This window comes from Homo sapiens, chromosome 2 (assembly GCF_000001405.40).
Source record: "Homo sapiens chromosome 2, GRCh38.p14 Primary Assembly".
Classification (NCBI taxonomy): domain Eukaryota; kingdom Metazoa; phylum Chordata; class Mammalia; order Primates; family Hominidae; genus Homo; species Homo sapiens.
In genome coordinates this window covers 97,411,313-97,424,723 of record NC_000002.12, presented here as the reverse complement: position 1 = coordinate 97,424,723, position 13,411 = coordinate 97,411,313, and the positions used below count along the sequence as shown (strand labels likewise).

General features: G+C 38.3%; 2 long non-coding RNA genes across 2 annotated transcripts; one reads left to right on the top strand and one right to left on the bottom strand.

Moving 5' to 3' along the window:
- Positions 1–696: 696 nt before the first annotated feature.
- On the top strand, positions 697–8,559 carry APPAT (atherosclerotic plaque pathogenesis associated transcript). Its single transcript, NR_130704.1, has 4 exons — positions 697–935; positions 1,452–1,547; positions 1,640–1,769; positions 8,319–8,559. It is a non-coding gene; the product is annotated as an atherosclerotic plaque pathogenesis associated transcript (long non-coding RNA).
- Positions 3,449–12,929, bottom strand: LOC107985920 (uncharacterized). Its single transcript, XR_001739602.2, has 2 exons — positions 12,897–12,929; positions 3,449–3,639 (listed from the first exon to the last, which is right to left on the bottom strand). It is a non-coding gene; the product is annotated as an uncharacterized LOC107985920 (long non-coding RNA).
- Positions 12,930–13,411: the final 482 nt, after the last annotated feature.

Here is a 13,411-nt window from a genome sequence, read left to right as displayed (position 1 = left end):
CTTCTAGAGATCTCCTAGAGATCTTTCACCTCCCTGGTTAGCTGTATTCCTAGGTATCTTATTTTTTCTGTGTGTAGCAATTATGAATGGGATTGTGTTCTTCATTTGACTCTCTGCTTGACTTGATGTATAGGACTGCTAGTAATTTTTGCACATTGATTTTGTATGCTAAGACTTTGCTAAAGTTTATCAGCAGAAGAAGCTTTGGGGCCAAGACTATGGGGCTTTCTAGATATAGAAACATGTCATCTGTAAACAGAGACAGTTTGACTTCCTGTCTATTCCTCTCTTCCCTCCTCTGTTTGGATGCCCTTCCAGTTTTGCACATTCAGTGTAATGTTGGCTGTGGGTTTGTCATGGCTAGCTCTCATCATTTTGGCACTTCTGACTAGAAGGGCAAGAGGGGCCAGTGTTGTTGTTACCTGAAAGGTAAGTGCAGCCCACAAAAATGCAGTGAAGAAGAAGATGTATTATGCATATGTTTAAGTTAATACAATTGAGATATATTTAGCAGACAGAATCAATAGAGTTGATGAGTGACTGACTGGATGTGTGGGGAGTTTATATCACTCCCAGGTTTTTGACTTGGGCAACCGGGCACTCATGAAGGAAAAAGGGGATCCAGGGAGAGGAACTTTTCTGAGGACTGGGGTAGGGCTGAACAGCTGCATTCGAGGCTGGTGGAGGGTGGGCTGGGCATGGGATGCACAAATGGAAATTCCACTGGGTCTGCAGCTCACACATAGGCATGACCAGCATAGAGATAGAGAGGCCCCAGTGCTGCTGAGTAACTGTGATTCCCCAGGTGATGGCATCAGCTGAGAAGGGAAGGAAGCCCATGAGAGGACACTGAAGAAGGAGTGAGCAGACAATAAGAAGCCCACAGAAGACAGAGAAGGAACAACTAGAGGGAGAAGCCAAGGCAGGCGTGTGTGGTAACACATAGGAACTGAGGGAGAGGACATTTCAAGATGGTGGGGATGCCATACAACAGGACTATGTGATGGTTTTTGGCTGTGTCCATAGGAAGTCACAACAGGCAAGGGAAAGAAACCAGAACCCAGTCATGGAGTTAAGAAGTGAGTCAGAGAGTAGATGGGTAGGGACAGTGAGGTAAGGCCTCTTTCTAAGGAAGTTTGGCTGAAGGATAGACTAGCTGGACACATGCTGGCTGTGTGGGGTAGAGGGAGGAATGATGGAGGGTAGGAGAGCCTTGAGCCTGCGAGAAGAGTCTCTTAGAATAGAGAAGCTGAAGTTAAAGTTGTGGAAGAGAGTGGGGATAACTGAGTGACAGATAATCAGGAGAAGAAAAGGAGATCCAGACTCATGACAGAGAGATGACCTTTGCCAAGAGCACAGCCGTCTTTCACGGTCACAGAGAGGTAGGACAAAATGAGTGGTGTTCAAGAATTGGTTTGTAGCACAATATTTCAACTATGTCCTTTAAAAAGTTTCTCCACAGACACTACCCAAAGCAGTGCTTCACTACAGTGGCAGACAGACCTGAAAATTTTCATCTGAAGCAGCAGAGTGAACTGCAGAGGCAGGTAATTTCTAGAAGGCTTGCTTTGTTACATTGAAACTGAAGATTATTCATGAGGCCAGTCTTCTGAGATTTCTGTCATTTCTCTCATGTCAGGTCACCAACCAGTGTGGAGGCTAAAAGCGGGCCTCTTTGGGGATTCCAGGTGGAAGTGTTGGACATCTGTAGTATTCCTGGTCTCGAATCATCCTGATATTCTTCATTTTGTTATTCACATTGGACTAGGGTGAGGAAATGAGTTCTGGTCAGAGTCAATGTTTCCTAACAATGTTGATTTATTTGGTCCTAAATATTTAAACACATTTTATAAATAGCTTTTCCACACCACATATATAGGGAAAAACAGGGAGTTAACTTGGCCCAGCAGCACTGTTTGTGGGGCTAACACCCTGTCTGTGTATCTCACACCAACCCTAAGCTTTGTTTCTCTCCTGTCACTTTGCTCCTATTTCTTTCATGTGAAAGAATGTTCATTTTCTTTGAAAATGAGCTCATTTCCTCATTTTCTTTCCATATTTCAGCAGGAACAAAGATCACCACAACTGGCTCCCCTTCAACTATGTTAGATGGCAACTTGCCTTCAGTATGGTGAAACACATCAGTTAAGACCGGGGTTGTGCATGGCAGGACTTTCTACAAGGACACCCAGTCTCCTTAATAAACATGAGATGCTCTCTTTCCAGAATTTCTCTTGCCTGACACAGCATAGGAAGATGCTGAACGGCCACACAGTGATCCATTGGTCAGTGGTGACATAAGGAGGTCAGAGGGGAGGAGTGAGGAGAAGTAGGGAAGACTAGGTGGTTGTAGGCCTCCTTCATCTGTTCATTGGCTGTGGCATTAGGCCAGCTACTCTTTGCACTTCTGTAAAGTGAGACGGTCGATCTTGTCTGCCTCTCTAGAGGATGGTTGCAGGTGTCAAATGGGGTAGTTAGGTGGGAGGGCATTTCACAAAGTTAAAAAATATGACTTTGGAGGCTTGTTATATTGATGAGGATTATAATCCCTGAGAATTCCTGGTATGAAGAAGGGAAAAGAAGATAATTTGTGAAAGAAATGTGTCCAGTTACTAGTCTTTGAAAAGGGTCAGTCTGTAGCTCTTCTTAATGAGAATAGGCAGCTTTCAGTTGCTCAGGGTCAGATTTCCTTAGTGGTGTATCTAATCACAGGAAAGATTGTGGTTCCCTCCAGTCTCTTTCTGGGGGAATTGAGCCCACTTCTCATTTCATTTAATTAGATGAAATAGAACTCAAAGTACAATTTACTGTTGTTTAACAATGCCACAAAGACATGGTTGGGAGCTATTTCTTGATTTGTGTAAAATGCTGTTTTTGTGTGCTCATAATGGTTCCAAAAATTGGGTGCTGGCCAAAGAGAGATACTGTTACAGAAGCCAGCAAGAAGACCTCTGTTCATTCACACCCCCGGGGATATCAGGAATTGACTCCAGTGTGTGCAAATCCAGTTTGCCTATCTTCTCAAGTTAGGGTTAATTGGATAATTCTGGAGAAGTACACATTGAAAACTAGAACTAAGCCAAGCAATTAAATACGTTTCCTGCCTATTACATGCCTTGGTACTGTGCAAAAGAGCTCACAGGGCATCTGAGGAAAGATTACTAACACACACCTCAAATGACTGTGTCTGATTTCCTAGAAGGACTCAGAAAGGGAGTGATCACTGTGGATTGGACTGGATAGTGCCTCATGCTGGAGGTGGGCTTTGAGTGCAGCCGTGAAGGTCAAGAAAAAGTGATATAAACACTGGCTCCTTCCTTTTGAAGGGACACCACACTCTTTGGGCTTAGTGGTTATAGATGCCTTTAGCGCAGCCCAGGAGCAAGCATTTGTTGTCTACCTACCACGTGCTTGGCTTTGGAAATGCAAATAAAAAAGGAGGTCACTATTTTATGAAAGGATGATTTTATTCTACCTGATGTAGCCAGCTGCAAGCTTCAGAAGGCAGCACATACAATAATGATGGGCTGGTGAGATGAGAGCTAATGGAGAGATGTACAAAGTGCCATGGGATCACCAAGCAGTGGTCAGGTGAAGGCATCTGATTTTCTTTAAGATCTTGCTCAAATGTCATCTCCTCTAGAAGAAAATGTAGGGCTTCAATGTAGGGCTTCATCAGTCAGACAACATGGGGAAATTGATCTCAGTTCAAGAAACATGTATTGATTATCTAATAGGTTCAAGCAGTTGTGCACTGGGGATAGAAAAATATTATCATCATCATCATCATCATCAACAACAACAACAATCTTGCTGTATGCCAGGCACATAATTTTACATGTATTATCTCATTTAATCTCAAACAACTCTATGCTATAGGTGTTTATTATTATCCCTATTTAGATGAAACATTTAACCTTCAGAGAATTTAAATAAGTTGCACTTGCAAGCTTAGCAGGTGAGGAATCAAATTTGGAATAGGACCTAGATCAGTGATCCCCTAGATCTACAATCTTAACCAGTACCCTGTTCTCTCTGCTTAGAGAGCACCTAGAGAAAATCTGTAAGCAAATAATCACAAAACAAGGGATGACACAATATATGTAAATGTAGGATATTACATTAAGTGGAAGAAGGAAGAAGGTCATTATTTACTTTTTCTGGGTGAGAGATGAAAACACTTCTGCAAGAGTATTTCCAATTTCACCAAAGTATGGAAAGATGTTTATCCTAATAACAATACTCAGTAATGGTATTTGATTTAATTTCAGCCTAGTACATGATTTGATTCTAAAACAACATTTCCTTAGAATTTCAATATCTGGAATTCTATAGCTCAATGGTTTTGGTGACTATTAATATTTTATATACTTCTTTTGATAGTTTTGGGGCTAAGTGAATCAAATCTATTCATAACTCTAAGTTTTCAAATTCTGAAATCTTTTAGAGTTGTTTAGTTAAAACTGGTTCTTTTCTTCCAGTTTGTTAGCTTACCAAATGAGCCAAAATAAAGAAAAAACAAAAATTTATTTTCAGTCTGATATAGAGAGTTATTTATAGTTACATGGTGCTATCTCTTCCTTTAAAAACATTTCTTCTTTCTTTTTTTCTCCCTCTCTCTTTTTGAGGGGATTATAAACACTGCCAGTATTTTTTGCCTAAAGGGTAAATCCTCTTAAACTCTTTTGGGATCTATATTAGGTGCCAGATGGTCATAAGAAAATTATGTGAGATACTGGTGAATAAACAAGCAAACCAGAAGCTAGGTTTTCAGAATAGATGCTAGCCAGTAGTTCACAGGCATTATCCAGCAACTGGTGGGGATCTACTTGGCCAGCCCGTGACCACTGAGATGTGAACTTCCCTGGACCTTGGCAGTCAAGAGGGAGAGAGGCAGAGAAAGCTCCATTATCATCACTAATTCCCTTTTGACCACACGTGACAGCATGACCTGCTTCAAAGAAATAAGATAAATGGTGGTTAGGTGCCCCCACAGGCCCACAGTAGCCCATTCAACAAAGAGCAAAAGTAAAACTACTCCTGATGGATTTAGCAACATCATAGTTCACTTGTGAGGCAACAGGCTTTTATTGCTTGCTTTGGGACTGGCTTCTTCTCATTTTCTGTAGGAAAGTGAGCCTACCTGACTTAGAAACAAAATTTTGGAACACAAACCCTTTGTAAGTTGGGAGATCCCTAAACTAAAATTTCCAGTGAGATGAAAAGCCCCTTGAGAAAGAAATTTCTGGCTGGGCATGGTGGCTGATACCTCTAATTCCAGCACGTTGGAAGGTTGAGGCAGGAAGATCACTTGAGGCCAGGAGTTTGAGACCAGCCTAAGCAACATAGGGAAACCCCTGTGATATAGTTTGGATCTGTGTCCCCACCCAAATCTCATGTTGAACTGTAATCCCCAGTGTGGTAGGTGGGGTCTGGAGGGAGGTGACTGGATTAGGAGGGTGGATTTCTCATGAATGGTTTAGTACTATCTCCTTGGTACTCCTCATGATAGCAGGTGAGCTCTCACAAGATCTGGTTGTTTAAAAGTGTGTGGTATCTCCCCCCTCACTCTCTTGTTCCTGCTTTCACTGTGTGACATGCCTGCTCCCGCTTCACAATCTGCCAGTAAATTGTGGCAGGTTATGAGTGTGTGTAATTTATGAGTGCTGATAGGATGAAAGATAGAAAATGATTTTAGATAGAAAGAAAATCATTCTGGAAGCTTTGAGTCTTCCTTTTGTAATCTATGTTGGTTCTTTTTTAACATCCCCTGTTTCAGCACTTACTGACCTGGAGTCTGTCTCACAATGACTAAATGTAATATAAGATTCTAGGATGTACACTAGAACAGAAAATGGAAACTAAATAAAAACTGAGGAATTCTGAACAAGTATGGTCTTTAGATAATAATAATATGACAATATTGATGCCTTAATTGTAATGAATGCACCACACTAATATAAAATTTTAGTAATAGAGAAAGCAGAGTTTGGGTACTTACCAGGAATATTATACTATTTTCACGATGTTTCTGTAAACCTTAAAGTGTTCAAAAATTAAAATTTTATTTAAGTCAATTGCAATATATAAGATTAATTGAACCCAAATTGTGGAAAATATAACTTCTGTTATAATGTTCCTTGGAAGCTTCTAAAGACAAGGCCTTTCTTTTCTATTTTTAGTAGAAATTACACGTATTTTCAAGTCAAACTGTTAATATGTGACAATATTTGCAGTACTGAAAGCTTAATAACTTATAGATTCATGGTAACGAAAAGCAAAGCATAGTGTTGTTTTTGGTTTTGGAATACTGTATGAAATATGTAGTCTTTTTTTTTTTTTAAGATGGATTCTCACTCATTTGCCCAGGCTGGAGTGCAGTGGGATGGTCTTAGCTCACTGCAACTTCTGCCTTCTGAGTTCAAGCAATTCTTCTGCCTCAGCCTCCCCAGTAGCTGGGACTACAGGCATGTGCCACCATACCTGGCTAATTTTTTTTTTTTTTTTTTTTTTTTTTTTTTTTGTATTTTGAGTAGAGATGGGGTTTCACCATTTTGGCCAGGCTGGTCTCGAATTCCTGACCTCAGGTGATCTGCCCACCTTGGCCTCCAAAATTGCTGGGATTACAGGCATGAGCCACCGTGCCTGGCCAAAACATGTAATCTCTTATTCAAGATTTATAATAACAGTTATGTGATACTCAGTAAGGGATGGTGATCTACATAAAATAAAAGTACAGGCACAGTGGCTTATGCCTGTAATCTCAGCATTTTGGGAGGCCAAGACACGAGGACTACTTGAGTTCAAAACCAGCTTTGTCAGCATAGTGAGACCTCATCTCTACAAAAAAATCAAAAACATTAGCTGGGGGTGGTGTCACACACTGGTAGTCCCAGATATTTGGGAGGATGAGGTAGGAGGATCCTACCTGAGCCTGGAAGACAAAGGCCACTGCACTTCAGCCTGGGTGACAAAGTAGGATCCTATCTCAAAATAGATAGATAGATAAATAGATAGATCAATGTTATTTATCTCAATATTTGAAAGAAAAGTTGAAAAACCTCCGAGCTCAACTAAGAATCAGTTTCTAGAATAAACAGAAGTATAAATCATTATACCTCTTTACTTCAAAAATATTACAGACATTATAAGTATTTTAATAACAAAAAATCAAATACTTTATATATGCTTTGTAATCTGTCCTTTACAAAATCATTTAACCTTTATGACAGGAGCTACTATGGTGCTCATTCCACAGATGAGGTGCTGAGGTTTAGTGAACTGAATAGCTTGTTCACAGACAGCTGGAGACAGAGACTCAGTTTGCCCATACAAAGATAATTTTAACCAATAGCATTTTACAATAGAATATCATAATGCCTATGAATTCTAAAAACATTTTATTCAAATCTCTCTTTTAATATTAGCACCTCTTCAACCTCTTCTTGACTCTACCACCAAAATTATCTTCCTAATCTCTCTTACCCTGTAAATTTCTGTGTGTGTGTGAGTGTGTGTGTGTGTGTGTGTGAGAGAGAGATAGAGACAGGGAAAGAGTGGATTTACCAAAAAATAAGATAGGAAGGTTGTCATAACATCTTCCCTTTTATTTCTCAATTCTGAAGTCCCCATTTTCATCCCTGGGAGAGTTGTTCTAGGATAGGGTAGCTAAAGGAACAGAGAAAATCAGAGTAATGGAATTAGCTAAAAGGGAAAGTGGCGACCTGAAGACCAAACACTAAAGAAGGGGCCAGTGAATGGCAAAGAAAGTGGAGAGCAAAACATGCAGGTAGATAGGGTCCTAGTTAATGAAGGCTCAGAGGCTGGAGGGTAAACCCATGCAAGGGTAAAGTTTAATACAGTGAAAATATAAGTAAGATGGGAGACCTACCACAGAGAACCAACACTTGGCATGTTTCTGATGACAGTGTTTAGATTGCAGTGGTTCTAAAAATTAAGTGATTTTGGAATTGGCATTCCATGTGACTTTAAAAGATAAATGATAAAGTAAATGTTTTATTCAGCTCTCTCTCTCCCTCCCCACCCACCTTCTTCCCTCCATTCCTCTGTTTTTAATGGGGATGTTTAAAATCCAATCTCACATTAATTTTTTCTTAAGTGTAAATAATGGGAAAACTTCACTTCGAGAGGGGACTCCTCAGTAGACCTCCATAATTTCCTGGCTTTTACTGCCAGTTAGTCATCAGGAATAGCCACGGCTAAGAGAGTACCAACTGGGCAAGCCAGTGAATTATACCAGTGCATCTCAGATTTACTGATTTGTTTAACTTTTGTTTTTTGTTCTTTTTTTTTTTCAGAGATAGAATCTCACTATGTTGACCAGGCTGGTCTTGAACTCTTGGCACCCAAGCGATCCTTTTGCCTGGAATCCCAAAGTGTCAGATTTACTGAAGAATATTTCATTGTAATTACTTTTTATACTTTATAGGTCAAGAGCTCTGTTTTAAATACAAAATTTATTGAATATACTTTTTCAAACAAAGTTTCATGTTCTAATCATTGTCTGATTTCAGCATTAAATGAAACACAGTAAAGAAAGTTGGGCTGATGTTGTTGTTGGTGGTTGTTTTTGTATTCTGATTACAGAACTGTATTTTGAGTGGGCTGAACATAGAGTAAATGCATCCTCAGCTGCTGGTCTAGACACTTTTTTTCCATGAGTGAAACTGCACATTGGGGATGGTGGGTCGGGGCTGTGAGTCCAGAGAGTTAAGCAGTAACCCCAAAGATTTTAACTGGGATCCAGAACAGTTTTATCATCGCTCTTCTTTATGTCTATATTTATCTTTAGTAATTGTACCATATGCTGCATTTTCCACTGGTTACATAGGTAAGCCTAGTCCTCCCCACAACATTCTTATACCAATGATGGTGACAATATGCTGTATTTCTTTTGTATGAACTCCTTACTTACTGTAGCTACTCAAATTGTACTAAGACCACTGGTACTAATCTGCAAACTAATTTTGAAGTACCTGGAAGTACAGATTTGAAAACCTTTTATAGCAATCTGACATTGCCACAATATTTTACATTTTACAAAAAATAAAAGTCTTTCACTCTGGGTAGTTTGAAAAGCACCACTGCAGAGAAAATAGTTGACACTTCACAAATGCTTATTTGATTTTCCTGAAGGTGATAAGTAAATTAGATATTCTATAATGTGTTATCTTTAACACAAAAATTATAGTAACTATTTAAACAATTAAATAACAGAAATTCAGATTCATGGTAAAATCAAAGAATATAAACTAAAAATTCCCTATATTTTCTATATTTTCTGAGAAAATATAAATAAATATATTTTCTGAGAAAATATAGAAATAAATATATTTTCTGAGAAAATATAGAAATAAATATATTTTCTGAGAAAATATAGAAATAAATATATTTTCTGAGAAAATATAGAAATAAATATATTTTCTGAGAAAATATAGAAATAAATATACTTTCTGAGAAAATATAGAAATAAATATACTTTCTGAGAAAATATAGAAATAAATATACTTTCTGAGAAAATATAGAAATAAATATACTTTCTGAGAAAATATAGAAATAAATATATTTTCTGAGAAAATATAGAAATAAATATATTTTCTGAGAAAATATAGAAATAAATATATTTTCTGAGAAAATAAATTAAATTAAATAAATATATTTTCTGAGAAAATATAAATAAAATTTCCCTATATTTTCTGAGCTTGAGTAACTCTTTAACAAAATGTTGACATAGATAAGCACTTCAGCATTCATGGATAAGCATACTTTCATAAAATTTGAAGAAAAATATATTTGATAATTCCAATGCCTGTCTCAGAGCTACTTTTTCTGCTGGTACCTCTGACTGGAATGCTTTCTCTCTCAACTCATACTTTTAAATTCTAGCCCCCTTTCAGGATCCAAATGCTCCATTTTGTAGAACATGTTTATTAAAATAGTTTATACTCTCTTATTGTATTATTATATGATGCCTTAATTCATGGCAACTTGTTAATATGTCATATTTCCTCTTAAGCTTCTTAAGACGAGACCATTTATTATCACTTTGTATATTTTTAATCTTTCCCAGAATAGGTGCTCTATAAATGCTTATTCAGCATTACATCATTAAATAAGGCAACACAATGTAATTTTCACTCTTAATAATGACTGCATTAGCAGGGCAAGGACTCTGAGGTATTTGTCTGACAAGCATTCAAAATTGCTAGCCAATGTTAGAACTAGAAATTTTGGAAAAGGTAGTGAGGTCAAGTCATTGACTGACCTTGGCTTTACTCATACATACTCTAACCAGATGGATACACATCAGAGCCTCAGAGTCTCTGAGTTTAAATGGGCCATAGGCACCACCTAAACTAATAGTCAAACCGGAAAAAGTATACGAGGACACTTGGAAGATGTATTGAGTTGTTAACCTAAAAGTTAAGAGAACTAAGAATCTAAATGGTGGTTGCTTAAGAAAAATACCATCTCACAAAAGAATACTCCTAACCACTACTGCAAAAAACACACTTTTGGGGAAAGTACACCCATATGGTTTGTACACATTCTCAAATATCTAAAAGTGACTTGGGCTTGACATGTAGTTCTAAATGCTTCTGTTAGATTTCCAATTTATCTCTCTTTTGGTACCAGTACCATGCTGTTTTGGTTACTGTAGCCTTGTAGTATAGTTTGAAGTCAGGTAGCATGATGCCTCCAGGTTTGTTCTTTTGGCTTAGGATTGACTTGGCAATGCGGGCTCTTTTTTGGTTCCATATGAACTTTAAAGTAGTTTTTCCCAATTCTGTGAAGAAAGTCTTTGGTAGCTTGATGGGGATGGCATTGAATCTATAAATTACCTTGGGCAGTATGGCCATTTTCACAATGTTGATTCTTCCCATCCATGAGCATGGAATGTTCTTCCATTTGTTTGTGTCCTCTTTTATTTCATTGAGCAGTGGTTTGTAGTTCTCCTCGAAGAGGTCCTTTACGTCTCTTGTGAGTTGGATTCCTAGGTATTTTATTCTCTTTGAAGCAATTGTGAATGGGAGTTCACTCATGATTTGGCTCTCTGTCTGTTATTGGTGTATAAGAATGCTTGTGATTTTTGCACATTGATTTTGTATCCTGAGACTTTGCTGAAGTTGCTGATCAGCTTAAGGAGATTTTGGGCCGAGACAATGGGGTTTTCTAGATATACAATCATGTCATCTGCAAACAGGGACTATTTGACTTCCTCTTTTCCTAATTGAATACCCTTTATTTCTTTCTCCTGCCTGATTGCCCTGGCCAGAACTTCCAACACTATGTTGAATAGGAGTGGCGAGAGAGGGCATCCCTGTCTTATGCCAGTTTTCAAAGGGAATGCTTCTAGTTTTTGCCCATTCAGTATGATATTGGCTGTGGGTTTGTCATAAATAGCTCTTATTATTTTGAGATACGTCCCATCAGAGATATAGACCAATGGAACAGAACAGAGCCCTCAGAAATAATACCACACATGTACAACCATCTGATCTTTGACAAACCTGACAAGAACAAGAAATGGGGAAAGGATTCCCTATTAAATAAATGGTGCTGGGAAAACTGGCTAGCCATATGTAGAAAGCTGAAACTGAATCCCTTCCTGACACCTTATACAAAAATTAATTCAAGATGGACTAAAGACTTAAATGTTAGACCTAAAACCATAAAAACCCTCGAAGAAAACTTAGGCAATATCATTCAGTATATAGGCATGGGCAGAGACTTCATGTCTAAAACACCAAAAGCAATGGCAACAAAAGCCAAAATTGACAAATGGGATCTAATTAAACTAAAGAGCTTCTGCACAGCAAAAGAAACTACCATCAGAGTCAACAGGCAACCTACAAAATGGGAGAAAATTTTTGCAATCTACTCATCTGACAAAGGGCTAATATCCAGAATCTACAAAGAGCTCAAACAAATTTACAAGAAAAAAACAAACAACCCCATCAAAAAGTGGGCAAAGGATATGAACAGACACTTCTCAAAAGAAGACATTTATGCAGCCAACAGACACATGAAAAAATGCTCATCATCACTGGCCATCAGAGAAATGCAAATCAAAACGACAATGAGATACCATCTCACACCAGTTACAATGACGATCATTAAAAAGTCAGGAAACAACAGGTGTTGGAGAGGATGTGGAGAAATAGGATCACTTTTACACTGTTGGTGGGACTGTAAACTAGTTGAACCATTGTGGAAGACAGTGTGGTGATTCCTCAAGGATCTAGGACTAGAAATACCATTTGACCCAGCCATCCCATTACTGGGTATATACCCAAAGGATTAGAAATCATGCTGCTATAAAGACACATGCACACGTATGTTTACTGTGGCACTATTCACAATAGCAAAGACTTGGAACCAACCCAAATGTCCATCAATGATAGATTGGATTAAGAAGATGTGGCACATATACACCATGGAATACTATGCAGCCATAAAGAATGATAAGTTCATGTCCTATTTAGGGACATGCATGAAGCTGGAAACCATCATTCTCAGCAAACTATCACAAGGAAAAAAAACCAAACACCACATGTTCTCACTCATAGGTGGGAATTGAACAATGAGAACACTTGGACACAGGGTGGGGAACATCACACACTGGGTCCTGTTGTGGGCTGGAGGTATGGGGGAGGGATAGCATTAGGAGATATACCTAATGTAAATGACGAGTTAATGGGTGCAGCACACCAACATGGCACATGTATACATATGTAACAAACGTGCACGTCGTGCACATGTACCCTAGAACTTAAAGTATAATAAAAAATATATAAAAAAATAACAAAAAAGTGCTAATTGTAAAAAACAACAAAAAAAGGATTTCAAATTTAGTTTGAACCTTCAATGTATACCTTAAGCAAGTGACTTGAAGGAAATTTGAATGCTGCGTGCCTTCTCCCAGCTCTGCGTCACTGAGGATGGGAACCCAGTGGCACCTGAGACTCCTGGATGTAGTGCCTGGGTGACATTCCTGTGGAGAAAAGCACTTTAGGGCTAGTCTCTAGATGTCTTCTCATGAGTCTTCTGCTTTCACATGAAGCTCTTTAGAAGACAGAAGGAAAAAAAATGTGAGAAGAAATACCTTGCCCTTCCACAAGATAGACCTGTTGTGCAGAGGTGCATACAATTGAGGACAGAGTTCAACATTTTAAATTAAATTTCCAAGTAGTTTCTGTGACTTCATTTAAGAGACCGTTTTTTGAATTCCATGGTTCCAATTTGTGTCTATTTTCCTGTTCACATAAATTTATAGGAATATACATGCCAGCTGTGAGAGATGACTTTATTTCACTGTTGCTCTTATATCCCCCTACAGTTGTCACAAGGACACCGATATCACACAGTGACATGAACCTAGACATATAGT